This window comes from Homo sapiens, chromosome 11 (genome assembly GCF_000001405.40).
Source record: "Homo sapiens chromosome 11, GRCh38.p14 Primary Assembly".
Classification (NCBI taxonomy): domain Eukaryota; kingdom Metazoa; phylum Chordata; class Mammalia; order Primates; family Hominidae; genus Homo; species Homo sapiens.
Window position 1 is genome coordinate 93,480,118 of NC_000011.10, and position 25,803 is coordinate 93,505,920.

The 25,803-nt window shown below is 45.5% G+C and overlaps 1 protein-coding gene across 6 annotated transcripts in view; it reads right to left on the minus strand.

Moving 5' to 3' along the window:
* The window catches only part of SMCO4 (single-pass membrane protein with coiled-coil domains 4), a 75,508-nt gene that overhangs the window by 1,646 nt on the left and 48,059 nt on the right, over positions 1 to 25,803 (minus strand). For 3 of the 6 annotated variants that reach the window (XM_011542909.1, XM_011542907.1, NM_020179.3), the window contains exon 2: positions 19,159 to 19,231. In XM_011542909.1, coding sequence (XP_011541211.1) covers positions 19,159 to 19,231 — 73 coding nt within the window. The other 3 variants (XM_017018020.1, XM_047427266.1, XM_011542911.3) reach the window with 3 other exon arrangements.

The window sequence follows — 25,803 nt, forward strand, 5'->3', positions numbered from 1 at the left end:
TTTAAGCAGATGAAGCAGACTTCAGCTGATTTAAATCGAGTTTACTTAAAGGCCTTTGGCATCTCACTGATTCCCAGAAAAGCCAAAGAACCAGGCTCAGAAAATGGGCAGGACATTATGCTGTGCTGCCATAACTGGAGCCCAACTCACACTCCCAGTGTGAGGATGCCAGAGCCTGCATCACCACCGTCAGCACTGGACATGGGCACTGGAGCAGGAGGTGCCGAGCCACCATGACCACCCCCAAAAACTAGATGTGGCTGCTGGCACAGTCTCCAGATGAACTCGCCACCCCCCAGCATTCTGCATCACCAGCTTCCATGCATGTGTGACTAGCCAAGCCCCGGCCCATATGCCCACAGCCTAGCCTTCCAATTTGTACAGCAGGAAGAGTACTTTTCAAACACAGTGACGGAGTGGGGTTGGGTATCAGGGCTATATCAAAGGCAGATGTCCATTACAATATTCTCGGAGAGTAGCATGGAGTGAGGGGTTCTTGGAAGCAGAAGAGCACTGAATACCAATGTTCCTCTAGCAGAGGGACCTATGCTGTATACTGTCTGCCCTGTTTTGTCCCAGGGTAGTGGGTGGCCTGTCATCATCTTGAGGAGGAAGATGACATTTACACCTAAGTGACCGAGGTGGTAGAATGTGAACTCAGAGTTGGGAAAGGTCTTACTGACACCATCCTGTTTTTATGAGGGATACTTAATCTCTTACCATTCCTCTCACTCCATTTAGACCCCAAAACCTTTTTTGTATCATTCAAAATCAGGCAGAGTTTCCTAAGGTATGAGATGACAAATATTATTGTGCTAGGATGGCATAATGCCAATCAAAAGCAAACATTAAGGTTCAGCAAATATTAAGGGAAGCGCCATTTGGGCAAATGTATAATTTCCTTCATGAAATAAGGAACAGAGAGAAAAAAAAAAACACCTACTATTACTTTCTTAAGGCCTGAAAGGTATAGGAACCCCTGGCTTTACCAATTCTCCTTTTCAAGTCTTCCAAAGGACTTCCAGGCAGACTTGCCTTCAAATCCAGGACCAATCACTTACAGGCTAAATGGCTTTGAGCAAGTCACTTAACTCCACTAGGCCTCCATGCCATCATCTGAACAATGAGAACAGCTTGTCTTAAAGGATGACTGTGAGAATCTGGAAAACAAATGCATCTGTACCCAGAGCTCTGCCCGCCCGCAGGGACGCGGTACAGGTGGGCTGAGACATCTCCACCCATACCCGTGGGCGGCCCAGGGACGGGTGCACTGAGCTCCTCTAAGCCTGACTGCAGCCTTGAGTGATGCCCACCTTCGCGGGACCGTGGTGAGGATGGAGTAGGAAGCTGTATAACTCAGGGCTTGGCACAGAGCGGGCGGCGAATTCGTGCTAGCTGACATACCAACACCTGGAACACACCCCAACGGCCCTGTGAGTCAGACAGACAGGCTTTATTATCCCCATCACGGAAGGGAGGAAACCAAGGAGCAAAGGGGAAAAATGTCTTGCCAACAGTCACCCAGTTTGTAAATACCCCATGGCTTCTAACAGAGCAATGGACAGCATTCCTGTTCAAAGCTGCAAATGGCAGCCTATTCTCTCCGACACGGCCTCAAAAAAATTGTTTAAAAAGAAACAAGCCATTAGCAGCACTCTGATTCGTGGCCATTTCCTTGTGGAGCTAATGGCCTGTCGGAGCCCGCTGCTGTCTCTCCCAAATTCCTCACAGGACTGGCAGGTGGCACCCCAGGCCTGGGGCTAGCCATGCCCTGGCTGGCTGGCTAGCAGTGCTGGGCCTGACTTCCCTCCTGCACTTCATGCTGCTGTCTGCATCCACCCACACAAGTGTAGTTGACATTCAAAGGCCCCAGCCTCCACAATGACCAGTTCTCAACATTTGTAAGATGCATTCAGAAGTTCCTGGAGGCATGGAAAAAAGCCTCAAGCTGCTGGGGCCAGGGCCGGTCTGGTCAGGATTTAAAGGGCAAACATGCCCGTCTGAATCCTGGGTACTTCATCAGGCTTCAGGAGGAGCAGCGTCTCTGCTCTCACTCACCTGTGAGCTGGGGCAGCAAGGGAAAGCATCTCTGAGATAACGACTGGGGAGGGGACCCTATGGTGAAAAGGGACCAACCAGGAAAAAAGCTGGGAAGAGCACCAGGCAGAGGGCAGAGTGGCCTGAGCCAGGGAGGGCATGGGCACTGGGGAAGGGCGGACTCAAGAAGCGCATTGAGTGCTCTGCATGTGAGGATGCTTCTTAGACATCGTCATGGAAATAATATCAAGGAGGCAATTGGATAAATGAGTCAGGAGCTGGGTCTGGGCTGAAGATCTGTATTTGGAAGTCATCAACTATTGGATTAAGAGAGATCATGTCCAAGGCAGGCAGAGAAAGGGCCCAGGACTGAGTCCTTTCACCCTGACAGCTACAGGGCAGGAAGGGGAAGAGCAAGCATGGGGTACTCAGAGAAAAGGAGTGAGGCAAAAGAGAACGTGCTGTCGTGGGGACCAAGACAGTCAAGAAGGTCAACTGTGAGAAGACAGAGGCATTTGTGCCAGAACATAAGCGAACGCACTGCTTCCTTCCTCGGGAATATTTGGCCAGGGAAAAACTGTCAGTGGCACGTGCTCAGTGCAGAGCTGGCTGACACTCTGCTGCAAGCCCCTCTGTCTTCCGGTAGCTTGTGATGACGGGTCTGCATGCCAGCACGCCAAACAGCACCAGGGCAGAAAACTGCTTTGAAGTTTTGTGGGAAGAATGTGTGTGGCCAAAATGGTTTTTCTTTCTTTTTCTTTAAATAATAAGCGAAACTAGAGAATGATGTTTGAGGGGTCTAATAGAATGGGAGAAAACCCTGACACTGAAAAAAGAAGAGGTCTCTGTAGGAGCAAGACAAGAAGCTGAATGGACAGACCTGCCTTCGAGAGGCAAAGGACCCTTTGAACTCAACAAGAGGAGGTAGGAAGATGGCACTGGGGGCGAGGGGTGGCTCCGTACTGTGAGGGTTGGGGGACTAAAGGCTTCTGTTTTTTTCAATGAAATAGGAGAAGGTTTCAGCTTAAAGTCTGGGAAGTTGGGAGGCAGACTCAGGGAAAGAGAAATCAAGAAGCAATCACTTTTGGAGGGTGGAAAGGCCACCACAGAGCACTGTCCATGCCCGCCTCCCTCTGGGCTAAGGATCGCCTCACCATGGCTCTGGGCCCAGGGGCTGCACCGGGCGGCCTCCTGGGCCAGGGCTGGCTCAAGCACATCTGCTAGGACCTCTGAAATGTGGGCTTGCCTAAAGGAGAAGCTGGGCCAACTGGCCTCTACTTCAAGAATCTAAGAGACATGAATGGACACTGAAGTTGGACAATCACACAGTTGTAGTCACCAGGGAAGCCAGGTGGGAGAGAGGCCTGGGGGTGGAGGGAGCACTCCAGAGAGGCCACAAGAGAAGCCTCCACACTCTCCTCCTTCTAGTCGAGTCCCCTGTGAGGCCAGCTCTACACAGGTTCCTGTCCTCAGGGTACTCCGACGTGTCTCTGTATGTGATGAACGCCTCTTTCAACTTTGGCTGGCTCCAAGGGGTCTCTGTCCCTTACACTGGAAAGAGCTCTGCCTAAAATGACTGCTCCAGTTTCACAAGGAAGAATCCAAGGCCCTGCCACTGACACAAAAGAAAGGACTGGCAGAGTCAAAGGTCAAACCCACATCTGTGACTCTGAAGCCTGGACAGTCCCCACCTTCCTGGGTGTACCCCACTTATCTTCCCGCCCTTCGCCCACTTTGTGCCCCCATCATGGTTCAGCAGCCCCTTGCAGAGAGAAATAAATGAAGCTCACACGCTCAGCCTGGCTTCTGCCCAGCAAGCAGCTCAGGCAGGATGGAAGCTGCAGCCTCCAGCTTCTCAAATGCCAGTGCCCCACGGCCTCTAGCTTCCCTAACCAGGGAAACGGAAACTTCACAAATGCCTGAGTTCTACTAATTCTAATGAAACTCCACCTGCTATGCTCCTACCCCCCACCAGCACACACCCACGGCAACCGGTCAGCATGGGGACACTCCAAATGGTCCCCAGTATGTGTGGGCAGGAGACCAGAGGCAGAGAGGAGGAAAGCAGGGACGCATTCTTCAGCACAGAATTGTTTGTGATTTTTTTTCTGTGATTAGAACTTTCCCGTCTTTTCCTACTTATGTATATAGATATGCATGTATGCACACATGCTAACTTCTTATATGCACTTTTCTCCGATTTGGAGATTATAATGTACACAGAGTGTTAGATCCTATTAAGGAATGGTAGGAACACAGGTTTGAAGTCAGGTTTGTGCCTTAGCTCTGCCCCATCTGGTTAAACGATCTTGGACAAGGTACTAAATCTCTCACGTCCCGACTCTCCTCCTCTGTAAAATGGGTAAGAAACCTGTTTTGCAGACATCGAAAAATTAGAAATAATGTATTATCTGAAGTATGCAGTGGATGAACAGGCCATACCAGAGGCTCAATAAATGGTACACAGTAACTTGCTGTCCAGCGAGGTCTGTGCTGTGGAGATGTACATGAATCTGGGAAACACCAGGGAATTCTTTTTTTTTTTTTTTGCACCATATAACCCATGCATGACAAAATCCCCCAGGTTTTCTCTTTTCCCTGAGGTACCAATTAGCTGTTGGGCAGGTTTGTTCAAAGGTTTGATGCGAGAAGCCTGGTTCAGGCTCTCAGGGGAAGGTCTAAGACAAGGAAGATCACTTTCAACTCTCATCACCCCAGACCTGCTAACCCTGTGCAGCCAATGCAGCAGCCACCGGCCATGTGTTGAACATCTGCAATATGGCTGTGGTCCAAAATCAGCTGTGCTGTGGTATAAAATACACACAAGATTTTGAAGGCTTAGTACCAAAAGAAAGAATGCCAAATAGCTCATTAAAAGTTATTTATGCTGATTATATGTTGAAATAATGTTTTGAATATACTGGGTTAAATAAAATCTATTATTAAAATCGATTTCACCTGTTTTCTTTTCTGTTTTAATGTGGCTACTAGAAAAGTTTTAAATTCCATGAGTAGCTGGCATTATACTTTTACCGGACAGCTTGCCCCATGCAGTCAGGGGCTCACACTGCCCTCCTGTAAGCTTTCCACATCATAGGCTCAGCCCACAAGGCTGAGAACTCCCTAAGCCTTCACAGCCCAGCCCCATTCATTCTTTCCAGCCTCACCACACCCAAATGACCCACTATTACCATCACACCTGAGCCTGCCTGTGGATTCTCACCTCCATGCCTTTGCTGATGGAACATCTATGCTGGAATGCGCTTTTCCCTCACACTGTCACCTGCCTGTGCAGTCTCTCATCTTTGGACAACCATCACATGTGGCCTTTGCCAGCTCCTCCATGCAGAAGCAACAGCTTCCTCCTCAGTGCTATCTCAGGACTTGGTTTATACCTTTACTGCAGCACTGACTGGCAGCTACTGCCTAGCTGGCTGGGCCTCTGACGTCTCCACTTCTCGGGGACTGCAAATGTGCCTTGCTGGTAATAATATTCTCCTGGGCTGGCATGATGCCTTTTATATAACAGGTGCTCAACAAACATCTGCTGGACTGAATATCAAAGCCGGAATATTTTAAGACAAGCAGTTCATCTTAGGCAACTAACCATTGAGTTAGAATAGAAAATTCTGTAATAATAAAGCAGCTAGCTGCCATTTATAAATACTTATTTCATTCCCACCACAATCATACAAGATTGGTATTTTTACCCCCATTTAAATGATGAAACTGGGATTCAGTAAAGTATGCTGTTGTCCAACATCAAAGACTGCTGGGAACAAGCACAATCTCAACTCCACTATAAAACCTGCAATAAGTACTCGTTAAGTATTTAATGAATGACCAACTGAATGAGGATTTGAACTCAGATGTGATTCCAAAGCCCACCCATCCTGTGTGACCCCACAGTGCCTCTCAACCACCCTACAAATAAGAACAGCAGCTACTGCTTCCTGAATGCTCAATACCTATCAAGCGACTGCACTAAAGCCCTCCACAAACATGCAAGCCTCACAGCAGCCTTCATCCCCATTTTGCAGACAAGGGAACTGAGGCTTAGAGCAGGCCCCAGGTGGTTAGAAAGTCAATAGTGCAGCTGGGATTCCAATCAAGCTCTTTCTGGCTCAGAAACCGTGTTGCCCCCACCCCAAGCAGCTGCTTCCAGGGAGGCCAGGCTATCCCCTACAAGGCATGTGGACCAATGGGACACAGATCAAGAGTCCAAGCCTGGTTCCCGCTCATCAGCTTTGGAAGCTGAGGACACAGGGAAGGTTGTGAGAGGAACACAAGCCTTCTTGGTATGTCTCATTTGGCAGCAGGTAAAGTCTGTTGCTTACAATCAGGCTAGCCCTGATGCCTGGAAGGTGCCGCTACACGCTGGCTGGGCAGTCATTCTGGGTTAAAAGATGCACCACATCCCGCTTGAGTTTTCAGTGTGGGCCAGGCTGCTCTGAAGGCCCCCAGGAAAAGTGCAACTCTCTCCACCCACCCCTACACTGCCCAGGGCCTACAGCATGGAGGGAGCCAAGGATGTCACAGGCTGTTGAAGGGGTGCCTGCCGAGAAGAGCTTGACCAGACCTGGAGTCCATGCTAAGTCCCTGTACACTAACGCCCATTACACCCCACTGTACAACCCATGTGAGAACAGTAACCAGGCCCAGACATCCAACCACTAGACTATTCTCAATGCTGTTCTCCTTTTCTAAAGTTTCAAAGCTCTCCTGTCTTCAGAAAAAAACAGTTGAAGGCGCTCCCTAAGAAGTGGCTGCATGTTTCTCCCACTTCAAAATCAGGAACACAAATGAATAAACAACACGAGAAGGGTATATATGGAGAAAGCTCCACCATCTCTTCTTGTAACTGTGTCATTATTACAATATGAGGCATTAGAAGGGCCAAACTGCTCTATGCTTTATGCTATAAGCCCAGGGAAGCTGCCCTGGGTTCAGGGAGACATAAATTCTGCACTTGAGAGCAGCAGCTCTGCGGTTCATCAAGTGTGCTTGCTTCATTTTATGTCCCTGGTATTTAGCCATAACGGGCCTGTGATCACTTCACTCCAGTCTGCGGCAGAGTGGGGGTAGGGGGCAGACAGGCTGACAGGAGAATTGTGCAAGATGGGACTCCGGACACCCGCAAAGCACCTGCTGATAACATAAGCGTCTGCCCCAGGAACATATACATGAACAAACAATGACAGCCACACAGGTGCCAGCTCCACTAGCTCCCTGCTGCCGACAGGCCACAGGGGTCAGGAAAGCTCTTGACCTGAAGGCCAGTGGGTGTATGGAGGGGAGGAGGGATCATAGCTACAGACAGATAAAAGATACACACACACACTTCTCATACCAAGGGCAGAAAAAATAAGAAAATGTTATTTGGCAGCAGTGGCAGCAGCACTGACTACTCCCAAATAAAAATCCAGAAACACAAAAGAATCTTTGAGTGGGTTGCCGAATGACAGAGACATGAAAGCTAGCATTCTCAATAAATCAGATAAGTCACATTTTTTTGGCACACTTGGATTAATAAAGTGCTTTTCTGTGCATTATTCATTTCATCCTCAAAGTAACTGTGTTATGTATTATTGTCCTTAGTCAACAAGAAAAAGCAGCACACGGTAAATTAAGTGCATGTCAGGGTTTCAGTCCCATCCTGGCAATTCTAGGGTCTGTGATCCTGGGCAAGTAACTTAACCTCTTAAGACCTTCAATTACTATGTTGTCAAACAAAGATAAAAGTATCTATCATTCAAATATTTTTTAAGCATACCCTGTATGTCAGGGGACAATGTTGAGGATGCAGCTATGAACAAAACAAGCAAAAATGTTGCCTTCAGGTAATGAAGCTGTCTTCATTCACAGGGAATGTGGAGAGACAGACAACTAACAAATGGATAGAGCATGTGTCAGATGATGCTATGTGCTGCTGGAGGCGCAGAGGCTGTAAATTTAGAGTAACTGATCAGGGAAGGCTTCATGAGAAAGTGACACTGGACCAGAGACTTGAAGGGACCTGTGCAGGGGGAAGATCTTCCAGGCAGGGCAGGACCCATGCACAGACCCTCAGGCGGGGCATCCCTTGCATGTCTGAGAAGCACGCAGGGGCCAGCAAGTCCGGAGAAAGCAAAGGGAGAGCTGAGGGGTCACAGAGGGAGCAGCAGAGGGCAAGATGGGGCCACAGAAGGGTGCTGCTTACATTTTAAAAGAACTCTGTGTGGACAACTGACTGCAGCTGTGAAAGGGCTAAGGCAAGGAAATCAGTGAAGATGCTAATGAATTATTCAGGTAAAACTTAATGTTCCAGGATACGGGTAGATGTGGTGCAAAGTGGTCTGATACCGAGTACACTTTGAAGGCAGAGGCATACAATTTACCGAGATTGGAAATGGAGTGTGAAAAAAAGAAAACAGACTGAAGGTCTCAGGCCTGCGCAACTGGAAGAATGGTGTTGCCATTGAGAGAGGTGGGAAGTTGCAAGGGGGTGTGAGGCGGGTGGGGACAGCTGGAGTTTGACAATCTATCAGCCATCCCTAGTAGAGGCATGAAAAGGCAGCTGGAGGCATGCGCCTGCAAAGCAGGGAGAATGGGCTGGAGACAGGACCCTGGGAGCTGTGGGCCCTTAAAGCTGGGAAGTGGAGTGTGTGCAGAGTAGGGGACTAAGCCCTGGAGCAATCCAAAGTCTAGACCTTGGGGGAGTTGAAGAGGAAGCAGGAAAAGACTGAAAAGGGAGTCAAGAAGAAAACCAGGAAGACGATGGTGGCTTGGAAGGCAAATGAAGAAGGTGTCCTGAGGAAGGGGGAGCTGGCCATCTGGTCTGGCCACATGCAGGTCCTCTATGACTTGCAGAGCAGTTTCAGTGAAGAGGGGTCAGGGGCAAGATTGGAGTAAGTCTGAGGGAGGGTGGCAGCAGGCAGACAGAAGGCAGTGAGAGCAACTCTTCTCCAGACTGCAGTAAACAAGAGCACAGGGAAGACTCGGAGGCAGTGCCGGCCTGAAATCCTAGTTCTGCCGTTTATCGGCCCTGCAACCTCAGGCAGGTTACTTAATCTTTCTGTGCCTCAGATGTCTCACCTGAAAAATGGGGCTAATAATTGGACCTAGAAAACTGATATACAAGAATAGTGACTGGTACATAGTAGGTATAATATAAGCATTAGCTGTCATCATCATAAGGAATAATGACAAAATAATTATGTATGAAAAATAATTCCTCAAAGAAGAGCATCTGCTTAGGAGGCAGGGAGAGAAGGGAGATGTTGGAAGTCTGAAGAGAGAGAAGCCATGAACAGCTGTCCAGGAGGCGATGACTGAATGGGAGGAGTGGCATGACCTGCCACCAGCTTGGGGCCCACTGCAGTTGGAGGCCACACAGCTTGAAGCAGGAAAGTCAGGATGGCACCAACCGCGCAGGTGTAGGCATAGAAAAAGTAGGAGGTTCAATTTAACCAGGGATGGGGTTTCATCAGGCCAGTACGACAAAGTAAGAGAAAGACAATGTGAGGATGACATGAGATTACAAAAGAAAAGTCCCTGGCATAGGCCCTGAACCTGAAATCTGACCGTTGTTCAAAGAGCTTAAGTCATGTGTCCAAGGAGCCCCCTCTCTCCACAGCTGTCCCTCACCTGTCCCCCCACACCTCTCCCCCTCCATCCCCAATGCAGAGTTCAAGATCAGAAAACAATGCTAGACTCTCAACTCTGTTCTTTCAACTAAGCCACATCCCTCCCTTTCCAGTTGGAGGTATTGTCACATCCCTCACACCAAGTTGTGATAAGGTGACTCTCTTGTTTGTGAGAATACTTCCAGGCTCAGGGCAGTCTAGAGACCAAAGCAGCCCGGGTAAGTGCAGGCTCGTCCTCAAAAGCTCCTTCCCAGAGCCAGCAGCAAAGGAGGTTCCTCCTGCCTTGAGGAAAGGCTGCCTTTTAAGGACAGGCCCTAAGATTGCACGAAATCCTCTAGGTGCTCACAACCAGCTTCTCTCACTGAAGGTGGAGTAAGGAAAAAGGAGGAAGCAGAGCTTTTGAACAGGTCTTGTTATTTAACCCTGGCCAGCCAGGAAATGCTCTTCTTTACAGAGCAATCAGAGTTAAATTAATAGCCATCAGCAACCTGAAACACAGCTACTATGTCTTTAACTAGTTGACCTGAAGCAAATTCAACCATTAAAAGGACAAAGATGATAACTAAATAAACGTGAAGTAACTTGAAATTCCTGTAAGAGGGTCCAAAACAATGGCTTTTGAAATGCTTATGATGTGCAGAAAGAATATAACGGCAGCACATGCAACACAAACTGAAATCAGAGTTTTAGAAAATATGTGTTTATATACTCTGATATTTCATTTCATTAAAAAAATGCTGGTTGAGATCCACAAAAGAGATTTCACAATCAGTCAATGAGTTGAGACCTGTAGCTGAAGTCCACCAGACTAAGCCGACCTACCAGTCAAGGCTGCCTCTCGCAGACTTCATATATTTAATGGTTAAATCGCAATGGTTAAATGGCCCAGGTGAGGTTGTGGAAACACTACCTCCAGAGGTCTGTATATTAAAAGGGCATAAATTACAGGTTGAAGAAGTGCTAGATTTAGCTGCGGCTCTAAAAGACAGAACCTAAACCAATGCGTAGAAATTATGGGGAGCCAGACTGAACTGCCTTTGGGGCAGGGAACGCTCTATCTCCCGGAGAAACCAAGCAGGGTCTGAAAGACGAATAGGATGCTGAAGAAGGGACTTCAGAAATCATATCAAACAGATGGACCCAAGAGTTACTGAAGTCTCTTTCCATTCTGACAGTCTTCGCTACCTTGATGAATAAGTGGTTATAAGAATGAAATGCAAGCAATGTGTGTGAAAATGCTCAAATTACAAGCTCCTCTATATACCGTCATTCCTTAGATGGCAGTTCTTTATCCAAACCTGTAGGTTCCCTCGACTTCATTTGCTATTCAAATAGGTACTTTAAAACAGCAGGTACTAAAAGTAAGCATGGCTAATTCATCACTTCCTTAACGGCAGCTCAACTCCAAGGCAAGGCTGGGGAAGAATTCCTGAGAAAGCATGCAAGCCATCCAATGGTGTGCACTGGGTTTTGTTAAGGCAGTGCTTCTCCTAACTTGCCCATCTGAAATATGCAGAAGTAAGTGAATGCCTATCCCTGGAGGCCATGTTAGGGCATGGCCAGGGTAAGAATAAAATTTCCTTTGGCTCCTCTGTTATCTTAAAACATCAAGTGATCACATGAAACATCTGCCTTGTTGTTTACTTACAATGTGCACACACTGTGATAAAGCCTTCCGTGGCTCTCACTGATCCCTGACATCCCCGTGCTGTTGGCTCTACTGCATCACAGGCTCCCACCTTAGAAGTGAGAAATGAGTTTTGAGATTATGTAACTTGCTCAGGACCACTAGGCAAGTAAGTGGTGAGACACAGTCAAACCTAGGCAGTCTGGTTCCACAGCCTGCTCTTAACTACTAAGTGATATTGAATTCTCCTTTAACAAATATCAGTATTGGTTGTAAAATTTTAAAATGTTATTTCTCCCAAATCTTTGGGTTAAATGTGACCCTTGAGGAAGATGACCACACTGACCCTGATCCTTGGCCCCCATGCTGGCATGCTGGTGCACTGGAGCTAGAGAAACACAACTTCGCCAGAACTTGCCAGCCTGTCCCCATGTTTTTATGGCCAGGTGTGGGCTAACAGCCCCTTCTCCCCTAGACACGTAACACAGCCCTCATGTTCTTTTAGGCATGAACTTCATCAACAACCAAGATGCACAAGCACCAGTTGTTTATAACATCTTTAAAATGGAAAATTCACCTCTCAGCTAAATTACAGTAAGTTAATTACAGAGCCTGGCTGATGGCAGACAAACGGAAAGAATGAGGGACTAACTGAATTTATCAAACAGAAACAATAGCACACATCAAAGATTGTGCATCCGGGCCTTCCCCCAATAAAGAAGCTAGGGACTAGCCCCAGAGACAGGCGAGTAAGCTCCAGCAACCGTTCATTTATCCAGCTAACAGTTGCTGAGCACCAGTGTTGGCAACTAACCATGCACAGATTCATTTACTCACTCACCAATTCATTCTTTCAAACACTTCCTGAGCACCTACCACGTGCCACAAGCTGATTAACTGTTGTGAATATACAAACTGATTGACTGGTCCATCTGATCATTCATTGATTCACCAAATACAAGGCAGACTCGATGTGCTGGGTAATGTCCTGGTGACAGGACAGAATAATGAAAACAAAGTTCCTGGTCTCATGGAATTCACAGTCCAATTGAGGGAGATAAAAAATAAACAAATAAAAGTGTAATATGTCAAGGAACAAAGTGCTATGAAGAAAGACAAAAGAGTGTAAGGTGACCAGGTGGGAGACGTGATTTAACCCAGAGAGCATTACAAGGGACTGCCTCTGTGACTGGAGAGCAGAGGCCTGCAGGAAAGGCTGGAGCAAGCCCCAAGGAGACCTCAAAGAAGAGGGTGCCAGGGAAGGGCATGGAGGGCAAAGGCCACAAGGCAGGAGCAGCCTGAAGGTTTTAAGGGGTAGCAAGGGGCCAGGGCGACCAGAGCAGAACGAGTTGATGAACGATGAGCAAGGGGACTAGCCAAGGAGCTGAGACGGCCGGTCCAAAAGGGATTCTGCAAACACACTGTGCACTCTCAATGCTTACCATGTGTGCTTCACTGCAGACCTTTGATTCCTGACAAAATTCATATATTTTGCAAAAGAAAGGCAGTAAGCTAAGCTGCTATCAAATATTTACATAGCGGTGTGTCAATGTTCTCCAAGGTCTCCTAAGAGTCTATTTTAGGGTAGGAGAAAGGGAATGACCCCATCAGAAAATGAACTTGAGCTGCTGAAGTTGCATTTGTCATTAACAAAGTGATAAATATTTGATCTTTAATTTAAATGTCCTCCTTTTTGCTGAACCTTAAGCTGATTTACCAGTCAATGAGAATGGTTTCGGCAATGGCACAGAACAAGAAGGCTTTTGAGCACTGAAGACAAGGTTTATTGATCTTGCCACTGGTCCAACTGCAGACTGCACAGAAGCCTCCAGGTCAGCAAGAGTCAGACCAGCTCCAGTCTTAGGTCCACTCAGGCCACCGTGGGTCCACTGTTAACTAAGGCAAGCCTGGGCACCAGAACAGAGGAGAGCTCTCCCAGTCACCTTCTACTCCACCTTCCCCACGCTGCCCCCACCTGCTCCTGGTTAATAGCTTACCAAGGGCTGCTCATTCTCCTCTGTGTTGACTCTAGAATCTGTATCACACGCCACCCCCAAATAAAATAGAGGCTGCAGACACTGCACGCATACCCATGCCTGTATGTTCTCCCTGCCATTACCGAGTCCTCAGCATCTCCACCCAGATGCCTCCCTTCCTCCAGCCTCCTGATTCCTCAATTTCCAGGGAATGATTTCACAGAAACCCATGTCTGATCTTAGTCCTCTAACTAGAATGTGTTCATGTGTTCCCCACTGTCAACAAAACAGGGTACAGATAGGACCTGGCTTTCAACATCTCTGTGCTGAGCCCAACCCTGACCTCTGACATCGCATCATGCACGGCTGTTCTGTCTGCACATAGTGGGAGAACAAGCCAAACTCTTGCCCACTTCCAAGCCTCCTCATCTTGGCCTGCTTTACTTACTTGCTAGATGATACAAGACTGTCCCTCTCGCCAATGCTGCCCAAGCCAGAAGTCTGGGGATCTCCTAGATACCACCCCTCTCTGTCATTCTCTACATCAGATTGTTCTCCCTTATCCTAAACATCTCTCAGACATACCCCTCTCTCCTTCCCCACAGCCCTCATCTTTATTGATGAGGAAATTGTGATAGCCTCCTCCACTGTTTCTCTGCCTTCACCTTACTGCTTTGTCAAGCCTTAAGTAATGCAAACACTCCTGAGTCCTTTCGAAACCACTGTCCATGGAGGCAAGGCAAGGGATGCCACCCTTGCTCATCTCACATATTTTCCCCTTAGCAGGAAAAAATAATATGGTAGTAACACTGAAGAATCACCAGAGAAGCAAATGTGGGAGACAGAGACATCTTTTGCAAAGGGATATAGACGATGCATCTAAATTTCATACCTGTTTTAAAGTCTAGTTATCATAAACTTTGAAGCCAAAACACATTCCTAGCATAAATATGCATCACTTCAGAGTGCAGGGTTAACCACCAACCAAAAAATGTTAACCAAATAACAAGAAAGCCAAGTTAACAGTATAATTAGACCTCTAGATTCCCAGCAACTTTAAGTTGCTGTCACAAATTCAAGACCTCACTGACGTTGCACTGTCAGAGTGCCATTTCCAAACCCGCAGGAATCCAACCGCCTGTGTCCATGCTCAGCAGGCACCTGGAATGCACCACTGCTGAGCATGGCAACCCAGGGGAGTACAATCATCCAGAAACTCCAGCAGGGCACTAACTTAACACCAATCACATGTCAGTCACTTAGCAACATCCAGCCTACCGTCATACCTAAAATGTGCAAGTCTCTGGAATTTTAAGTCTCACACCCATTAGAACTAATAAAAGGACTTGCATATCTGAATCAGATCACTGACTTTCAGGAGAAGTCTTAGTACAGACCATGCCTACAGAATCCCTATTGTAAAAGACAAACCCGGTCCAGTAACTCCCTAGTATTTAATTCTACAGTGGCATTCCACTGCCTTTAGAATAAAATCCAAATCCCTTGCCTAACCTGGTCCCCAAGGAAGGACCTGCATGATCTGGCTCCTGCCTACCTTTTGCACTCAACTCCCACCCCACCGTGCCCTCCACCACAGCAGCGACCCTCCTCAGTGTTCTCTGGCATGCCACACCCTTGCTGACCTCCCAGGCCTTTATCCATGCAGCTGTCTGAAATGCCCTTTGCACCCCTATTCTCCCAAGCATTCCTTCTGCTTGGCAAAAAAGTAACAAGCAGTTGGTACTTGGCATCTCTTTCAAGACCCATCTCAAGGGTCACATGACTTTCCATCCCCCAGGGTGAGTGAGGGGCCATCTCTGTGTTCCCAGGACTCTGGGTAATAAACTCTATCACAACGCTCATCACACTATTAAAATCACCTTTGCTGGTATTCCCATTACAAACTTTGCTGTAACTCATCAGGCCACAGTGTACCAAACATCCAGCTGGAGTTTCAATATTACCATTAATTACCTTGGGGAAGGCCTGAGAATGGAGAGTATCATGCCTAAGATGAAATTCAGGTACGTGCTTTTCAGATGTGTGCACGGCAGCACACGCAGGACCTCCGACACACACAGGAGTAAAGCTCAAGACTAAGGAAAACAAATCGGCTTCAAGATAGGAAAAACATATTTAAAAAGGAAAGCTGTATGCTAATATTTAGCTTTCTTTTTCCCTTGTATAATAGAATGCCAGTCTTTTCTTGTACCAACCTAGAACCAAGTTTCATTCAAGATTTCATGAGCTAAAATGCTGTTGCACATTTTTATGTCAAAATATGTGGGTGGGGGATGGGGAGGTTGCTTGGGGAGTAGCAAGGAGTATTGCAATTTCAGCTGATTACTTATTGGCTATTAACTTATTAAGGTTACAAATGAAATAGTGGTCCACCTCTGTGTTCTAGGAGTTGTTATTCTGGTGTTTGGAGGAACAAATCACTCCTTGTTCCATTTCCCAGAACACAATATTCATTCTAAGTACACCTTTGAGAGCCTGAGTTATTTTATTGCGTTTGGAAAATTGAAGTCACTGCAATCTTCCTAGGAAGTCAAGAGTGAAGGGGAGAATGTCTCACAAGCTACAACAACATGGTGCCAACAATGCTGTGCCTCTGTAGCCAGGCCTGGGGCCCAGACAGTGCAGTCCACTCCATGGGCTGCACTGGGCTTATGTGTTTCATCAAGTGCAGGATGAGGTCACCAACAGGTTTCAAGCAAGGGAATTACATGATTTGACAAGAATTTTTAAAGATTGCTCTGGGTCCAAATTGATGAGAGGAATAGAAGAAAAGGGGAAGCAGGCAGGGCAGTCAGTTAAGAGGCTTTGGCAGTCACCTGGCAAAGGACGATGTTGGCTTGGACTTGGGGGGCGGATACAGGAAGGCCATGGATGAATTCAAGATGTACTTTAGGAGAGGCATCATTAGGATTTGGTGATTTGGGGGAAGAAAAAGATGAGTATTAACAAATGAAGTACCAGTTTCTGGCCTGACAAAGTGAGTTAACAACTACGTACCTTAATAAGATGGGGGAAGGGAGGAGGCCTAGAAAGGGACTATGGTAGAAGTAGACCAAGAGTTAAAATCTGGACACAGTAAGCTTGAGGTGCCCATGAGATACCAAGTTTGCTAACTGCCATAAAGGGTGTAAGAATGCTATAGAACACAGAGGAGTCCTGGGGCCAGCCTCAGAGGTGACCCCTGTCTATCCTCTCATGGTGTCGGAGGTCCTGCCACTGTGCCAATTCAAGGTGGGCACAACCACTGAGGAGCACCTGGAACCCCACTCAGCCAGGACACATGAGGGTAGCCTCTATGAGGATCCTCACTAATGCAGATCCAGCTTTGGGGTTAAGAAAACAATAACCTTAACAGTAAAATGGTGCTTGCATCATGCCACAACTAAAAGTAAAATGTGAAGCCTGTTTCCTTTGATTACAAGCATCACGATAGGCTTGCAGATTTCTCGATACTGATGCTTCAGATTCCCAGTAAAAGGGTGTTGGTATCTGGTCCTGGGCCCCAACGCTTACACTATGGGGAGTAACCTGTTTGGGGGATTCCAGGTTAGAATTTCCCACAGGAAAATGTTAATCTAAGAGAGTATCAGAGGAAGGTCTCTCAACATAAAAAGACCAGAGATGGTGGCCTGTTTTAGGAAAACAACAATTCACTGAAATCACATCCTGCTTTTAATAGCCCCCCTTCTAGAATAGAAGCTGGTTTTTTATTATGATGGTTCTATTTTCCCATTTCCCCATCAAAGGACAAATCAAAATGTCACCTGACAATCCACTTTCATTAAAAGTTGAGCAATTTTTTAAAAATCACAGTTAACTAAACAATTCCACATGGCAATAAAGCACTGTGCTCTGCTGCCTTGACTGATAGAAACCATTTGCAATGATTTAAAAGAGAAGGAAGCGAAAGAACATCATCAGATACAGCTGAATTAAGCTGATCAAACCTGTTAGTGTCTTCCAGTTTACTCAGAGTAAGACAATGCAGCATTCATGTAAGCTAATTAAATTTCTTGTATTTAAATTAGCCTTAACAAAAACAAAACTTTCAAGACTGACTGGAAGGTCTCAGGAGGAACATATCTGCTTTTTCAAGAAAGCTGCCTGGCTGAGGGTGGAGGGAGCACCAGGGTCAGACTCTCAACAGAAGGTCAAGACTCCCCTCCCTCAAAGGAACACTGAGGGTAGAGACGGTTCTGTGACACTGTTAGTTTGCCATGGCTTCCAAAGGGGGGTACCAAGATCAGATGGTTGGGGGGAACTGAACCCCATTCACATCAGTTCATGATGTTATGCAAGACATTGAACTTCTGAGCTTATTTCCCAACTTTGAAAATGAGAAGTTACCACTTGCCTCTGCCTGCTTCCCAGGACTGGTGGGAGAAGAAAATCTGCCGACGTGTGTCAAAGCACCTTGCAAAAGAGAAAGCACTCTACAAATGTGAGAGACAGTTGCTGGTTACTGTTAGGCAGAAAGGGCTGAGTCAAGTCTTCCAAGATGATGGTGACCAATTAAACTGATTTTCTTTTTTTTGAGAACTGTCAGTTGATTATTTATTTTGTATAAAAGTTACATTGAAAGAAGAGGTTGAAAAGTCAAGTATACTAGATTTGCACACACTTGCGAAGTCTCACAGGATTCAACCACTTGGATAATTTCTTAATTGATAACAGGATATACATATTAAAAGCCTCACACTGAAGCCCAATACACGTCAAACCCAGACAACAATGTGCAGATGAATACGCAAAACAATCTCTGGAAATTTGTATCTCTGGGAACACCCACAATCTATGCTTTGTCCCTCTGGCTATGATGCATAAACTCATAAAATTAATAAGAAACTTTTATGGGATCTTTAGCAGTTACAGTAAACAGTTTGAGAAAAGGAACCTGCTGACTTATTCATTTAAAGGACAAAGGTTGGGGGCAGGGAGGTGGGTTAAGACACAAAGTCACTGAGTGAAGCAGTCGAGAGCATGGCACAGATGGAGAAGGTGATCCACCTGTGCAGCAGATAGGAGGGGCTACAACCACAGCGAGACCTAAAGCCCCCCACATGCAACCCCCACTCACACCCGCCACAAGCGGAGAAGGGGGCTGGGGAGCTGTGCTCCAGTGACCACTGGCATCCAGCTCTGCCTGTCACCTCCCTCCCCACTTCTGGATTCCTGCTCTTAACATGGGTCCAAAATCAAATGTGAAAAAAAAGTATCAGATACAAAAGCTTTGCTATTAGCTTCATTTCACCAATAGCCAAAGGACACCTGGCGAAGATCAGGAATTTCGGATGAATGCTCAAAGATCATAATGTATTTAAGAATGATTCCTAGTACAGGCCCAGTAAGGGAGGCGTGGTGGGGGTACAATGTGGGTCCACACAGGAGCAGGCCTCTTGTGGAGAGGCTCCTTCATGAGTCATTCGAGAAACATTTATGGAATACCGACTGTGTCCCAGGCACAACTCAGATGCACCCTTAAGCAGCTTACTGGGGAAAACACAAAAACAGGCAACGAGAATAAAGCGTGGAAGTAAGTACTATGATGGGGGGTGTGTCACAGACCTCTACCCGACTGGCCAAGAGAGGAAGGGTGAGACCATCAGGGGAAGGGCAAACGAGAACACAAACATCACAGGAAGGAGAAAGTGTCGTGGGGGTTCAACAGCAGGAGAAATCACCCGCAGCCTGGAGGAGATCCTCCACAAAGGACAAAGGTGGCATTTGATAAAGATCTTGAGGGATGAAGAGGAACTTGGCCAGGCAGAGAGAAGGGGTAAAATATTACACACAAAACTAGGCATATGAGAGAAATGACTGGGACAGTAACCTCTCCCCAGACAATGAGTTTCCCTTATAAGAGAATGTTTACCTTTTCTTCAACTTCAAGAATCGTTGATTAATTTCAGCAAACTGATTTCCAGTACAGGTGACTTGAGTTATTCCTGTTGAGAAATTAGAAGAAAGGGTATAATAGCTGCTGGGGAGGTATCCCTCCACAGACTCCTTTTTTGGAACCCCCTCAGCCCATGCTGAGAGGGCAGTCACACGGTTCCCCTCTCCCAACTGGCTTAGGGATAGACACTTGTCACCGCCCTGCTCCAGAAGGGCAGACAGACAGATACACTGGCACATGTGTGCATGTGCGTGATGGACAGGACCAAGCAGCCCCTGCATGGAGTTAGAGGGGCCTTCCCACTCCTGTGCCCAGCAGGCAGTCAAGCTTTGCTTCCTGTATTCCTGGGATTTCTACAACAAACTCGCTGCTAACTTAAGCCGCCATGAGACCATGGCTGTTCCCTGCAATCAAAAATCACTGATTTAAAAATGAAGGATACAGGTTTGGGATTAGAAAAGAAACAAACGCGGAAGGTGAAGGAACAGAGGCTTTTAAACCAAAGCCTTGGGAAAAATAAAAGATGAGAAAGTGACCCAGGCATCCGAACTACCGTCCCATAACATCAGAGAGGAAAGGAAGAGAGATGTGTGACAGCCACAGAGGACAGCCAACAAATTAACTCAAAACCTCAGTGGCATTAAATATTAAGTTGGAAGCCCAGATACTGGGGGAAAGGAGCTTTTAGTATGGGTATTACCCATAAAGCAAAATAAATAAGAGTTCCCTTGAAAGTAAAAAGGTGGGAGACTCCAAAAAGTGTCCATAACAAGCAAGACATAATTGAGTAATGGTACAATGCCTATCATTACTAAAATACGTAAAGATAAATCTTGGTTTACCGTGCTTTTTGTTTTGTTTCAAACAAACATTTCATTTCAAGGTATGGTGGGTCAGCAATCAGTGCTGAGTTCAGCTGGGCTTTTTCTTCTGGTCTTGCCTGGCTTATGTATGTGGCTATAGGCATCTGGTTGCTCCACTGGGCCAGATGGTCTCAGATGACTTTGTTCATGTTAGTGGTTGGTACTGGCTGCTGTGCTGCCTTCATATTCTCTTGCAGTAAATGTAAACAGTTGTTGTTTTTTTATTCCCAAAGAGCTTCACAGATGTATGCCCGACCTCTATCCTCGCCATATTTTTCCATTAGTTCCTGAGTTGGGCAATCACAAACTTACCTACTGTGGGGATTTAAGAACCTAATGTCTTATAGCCTCTTCTACTAGGGAGCACTGATTTTGGTGAAGTCCAGAGATTAAGGTATGTAAAAGGGAGGGATGGGACGCAGAACTGGAAAGGGGAAGGGAGTTGGTTATTCAGGAGTCATGAATGCCAAGTAAAGGAGTTTGGACTTTATCAAAGCAGCATGTAGTCTAGTCCCCATTCTCTAAGAGATAATTGCCATTCTGAAAATATGGAAAGTTAAAATTGGGCTCCAGAGGAAAAATATGACCTGAGTTAGAGGGTCTATAAAGACTGAAGCAGTCAGCTGGAAATTAAGTCATCAGCAAGCCGTGACCTCTACCCTTGACAGGGTTCTTTGCCTGCTGCTGTTGGCTCAGTAGCTGCAGCAAAGGCTCTACCAGTTTGCCCTAGTTTCTAGGCCTTCTGAGCAGCTTGTCGCCCCAGGGGCTCACTGGAGCATCAGCTTTCACTGAACAGGGTACAGAACAGCGACAGGGACACCAGCTGGCCTCCGAAGGGCAACTCTGCTATCTGCTCTCCCCAGATCTGGCCCTGTCTAAATATTCCAAGTAGCAGAGGCACCTGCTGCTCGTCCCAGACCTATAGCACTTTCTCTCACTAGGCCTCAGTTTCTTCATTCATAAAATGATAGAGACTAGATCAGTGGTACTCAACAGGAGTTCTGCAAACCAGTGCCAACTCTGCTGCTGGGTCATGACCAGATAAGTACAGAAATTGGGAGTAAGTGCTCAGAAGCTTTTCTAGCAATATGAGAAAGAGAGAGCCAAGCACATAAACAGCAGAAGTGTCTTGGACAGGGCACAGACTAGTATATGAGTTTCCTGAGGCTGCCATAATTATCACTGGAAGGCTTAAAACAGGAAATGTATTAATTCTGAAGGTCAGAAGTCTGAAATAAACAGGCAATGCCATGCTCCCTCTAGAAGCCGTAGGGGAGAACTCGTTTGTCGCCGCTTCCAGCTTCTGGTGGCTTGGCATTCCCTGGCTTGTGGCCACATCATTCCGACCTCTGCCTCCATCTTGACATATGCCCTCTCCTCTTGGCACACTGCCTTCTCTTCTGTGTCAAATCTCTCTCTGCTTCTCTCTTATAAGAATATCTGTGATGGCACTTAGGGCCTACCAAATAATCCAGGATGATCTCATCTCAAGATCCTTACTTAGTCACATCTGCAAACCCCCTTTTTCCAATTAAGGTAACATTTATAGGTTCCAGGGATGTTCTAATCTAAGCACATCTTTGGGGCCACCATTTAGCCAACTACGGCGGGTTTGGGTATTGTTGAATTTGTGCATGACCTGCTGCACATGGTGTATACTGTACCTTTCCACTGGGGAAACACAGCCACCCTGTTTCTAAATAGCCTGAACAGCAATGGGCCAGATGACGTCAAATGTAGCAGGTTCCCTTGAGCACACACACTTGGAACCCCTGCTATGCCTCTCTATAGCCCAGAGGCCTGGGCTGCACAGGACCAGACTGCAATGGGCACCACCAAGAAAGGAGAGCAGGCTAGCAGGTGACCCAGGGGGCAAAGTACAGATGCAAACTGTTCCCTTAGCCTTTCCCACGGCTGATCTCCCAGATAATCTGGCAGGCAATGCAGGAGCTACCCCTTCCCCACCCCATACTCCTGTCCCTCACATGGCCTTAGTTGTAAAGTGATTACATTAATCTGTTTTCTGTTCAAATGTACCTCCCTCATCCCATCAAATGCTCAGTTTTAAATGTTCACATTTGAGAACAGAAGCAAAACTATGCTATTGAAGTCCCTGTAAACCTAGCATTACCCTGCTACTAACAACCTTTCCCCCAACAGCCCTCCCCCTACCCTCAAAAACACCCAGCAAGTTTCCAGGCTTCATAACAGAATGGAGAAGGCACTGGGGTGACTTCACAAAGCAAGGATTTCATTTTGTGTTAGAGGTTTTCTTGCATGGTCAGAATACTCCTCACTGAATGAAACACAAAATGTAGGGTCCCTATGCTGTACATTTCAGGCTTAAAGGGCAGACTATATCAAAGGACCTCAGAGTATTGAAAATGGTAACATGCGATAACAGGTATGGCCATGGTAAAACAGGTACTCTCATCATTCAACTTTCTGGAAAGCAATTAAACAAATTCTCATTAAGTGGCTTAAAACTATACACACCCTTTGACTTTGTAATTCCATTTCCAGAACTCTACACTAAGGAACAAAACTTAATGCTACACGGCAACATCATACCTGAGATAAAAAATGAAAAAGAAACTTATCCAACAAAAGGACAGAATTAGACAAATTATGGTAGATTCATTTAAAAACTCTTATGCAGCCATTAAAAATGACATCTAACAAAGAATTGTTAATAAAAATCACAAATACAATACTAACAGCTACTCCTTACACAGGCCAGCCACTAACCTGAGCTTTTTAGGTGTTCTGTATATGTTAATCTTTGTAATTTGTATACCAACTCAAGGAGGTAGGTACTATTATTCCCATTTTACAGATCAGAAAGAAGAGGTACTGAGAGTTAAGGCACTTGCTCAAGATTAGATCCCACAGAGTCTGGCTCCAGAGTCCATTGTCTAGAACCCTGTAGAAGGCTGAATAATGGCCCCAGAGAGGTCAGGTCCTGTATCAGTCCATTTTCACGCTGCTGATAAAGACATACCTGAGACTGGGTAATTTATAAAGAAAAAGAGGTTTAATGGACTCACAGTTCCATTGTGAGGCCCCCCCAACCATGGTGAAAGGCAAAAGGCATGTCTTACACGGTGGCAGACAAGAGATAATGAGAACCAAGTGACAGGGGCTTCCCTTATAAAACTATCAGATCTTGTGAGACTTATTCATTACCACAAGAACAGTATGGGGAAAACTGCCCCCATGATTCAATTATCTCCCAACAGTTCCCTCCCACAACACGTGGGAATTATGGGAGCTACAATTCAAGGTGAGATTTGGGTGGGGACACAACCAAACCATATCAGGTCCCAATCCTGAAACCTGGAAATGTTATCTTAGGTGGAAAATGGTCTTTGTAGACATGATTAAGTCAAGAATTGTGAGATAAAGCTGTATTCTTGATTATCTGGATTGGACCTAAATTCACATGCCCTTATAAGAAAGGTAGATTACACACACACAAACACACAGACACACACTGTGAAAACTGAGGCAGATATACGAATGACAAGACCACGTGCCAAGGAATGCTGGCAGCACCAAAGGCTGGGAGAGCAAGGAGTGGAACAGATTCTCCCCTAGAGTCTGTGCACATGGAGCACGGTCCTGCCCATACCTTGATTTCAGACTTCTGGCTTCCAAAACTATGAGAATATATTTGCTATTTTAAGCCACTCTGTTTGTGGAAATGTATTACAGCAGCAACAGGAAACTAATACAAGTCCATGTTGCTCTCAACACAAGAAAAAGTATTCATATGTTAAATGGAATAAGAAGAAATCAAAATTTATACACAATGATCTTAATTATGCATATAAAAATACATGCAAATAAAACAAAATGTTTATAGTGATTATCTCTGAAGAAGGATTATGGGTAATTTTCAGCATTATGCCTTCTGCTATTTACCCAAATTTCTACAATTAGTCTGAATTATTTTTACAAAGAAAAAGTTATTTTAAAAGTAGGAATCCATGATATTTCTGCAACTCCAACTTAATCAAAGAAGATTAGAAATCAAGAGGTCCAAAAACTCAATGGGAATTTCCCTAATTCAATCTCAGAGCAACACCAAAAAATTTAGCAACCTGGATACATGTCATTCCCTAAATGACTCCACTCAACCCTTGGTCTCTTGAAAGCCTGTTGGTTTTCAGACTCTGGCAGGAAGATGATGTGGCTGAAGAAGTTTCAGGCTTCTTTGAAGAGGATAACCTGAAAAGGTAAATATTTTCCTGCTTATCTACCCATACAAGAGAAGGAATGAGAGATTTTTGTGCATTCCCAGAGCTCATCCAGCCCAAAGCCTGTGGCCACATGCCAAAACCAAAAGCACCAGTTAATAAACATGTAAATGTTTGATTTCTCTGTAGGTGACTTTGCAGAATGAAACATCAAATCAAACACTGACCTAATCTTCTTACAAAAGTCCTGACTCCAAGGCTATTCTGTCGCAAAACCCTCCTGCTATCATCTGCCCAGGAAGCCACCAGACCACAGGCCAATTTTACTGTATCAACATCATGCCCTTTGATTAAATATATTCATACAAATAGTATATTAACATTTTCCCCAACGTGTGGGCAGTACTGGATCAAAACAGAAAGATGTGTTTTTCTGTTTTGCATGGTGGGGAAGGGAAGAGTCACTGGATCCATCCAAAATGGGGCCAGGTCAGAGCAAGGGGGTGCAGGAAATGCATGTGAAATGATTTTATTCAGTCCCCCTGTACAGCACAGTGAGTTAGGGCAGTGGGTGAAGAAACCACAGTGTAGGGTTTGTCTTTCAGTCCAGGTTTTTCTAAGTATGTTTATGCATACTTCATGCAGTCTATCAATATGTACAAGTACTTATTAAACATGAGGCACTAAGAGAAAGTTGTCTCACGCTGTAACAGATCATGTCTTCAACATGCTACACTCTCAGATGATGCAGCTGGGCAAATGGACATCTTTACTGATCTTCAGCAGTCTGGATCACAGAGCTGCTAGCAGTGGCAGAACGTTGAGAGGAAGACCTAAATGGGCCTGGCAGAGCTTTGAAAATGAGTAAAACAAAAAACAAATGATTTAGCACTGTCTACTTTCCTACACACCATTCACATAACAGTTCTAATTTCAGTAACTACTTCATTAATGTCTGTACCTCCCACTTAATCATCTACTCCATATAAAAAGTATAATTAACACTTTCCCCAACTCTGTTTTTTTTCACTTGCTATTGTATTACCCAACCTAGCAGTGTCTAACTTTAAGAAGTACTCATTACATATTTGAGGTATAAATTATTGCAAGAATGAATATAGGTCATCAGTTTCCTCATCTGTAAAAATGAAAAGGCCAGACTATGTGATTATTTCCCAAAGAAAATTCCAAGAAACCTAATTTTACGACTTATGCCAAAAAAAGAAGTTTCACAAGTTATTCAGCTTTGGAAATGCTACATTCTATAGCCTCCCATTCCCCTTAAAGATTCACAATATATACCTTATACAACAAAGGATCTTGAAAATCCTTCAATCAAAAATGTATTTGAGCATTCCCAAATCTAGCTGACCACAGATGCCCATTCATCAACACTTACTGATATCACAGAGAACCAATGTTCTAAGGAAACCATGGGAAATACTAACCTAAACTCTTCGTTTGTTAAAAAAGAAAAATGTATTAAGCCCTTGCAATGATGATGATGATGATGATGATGATGATGATGATGATGAAAATAGCTAACATTTAGCAAGTGA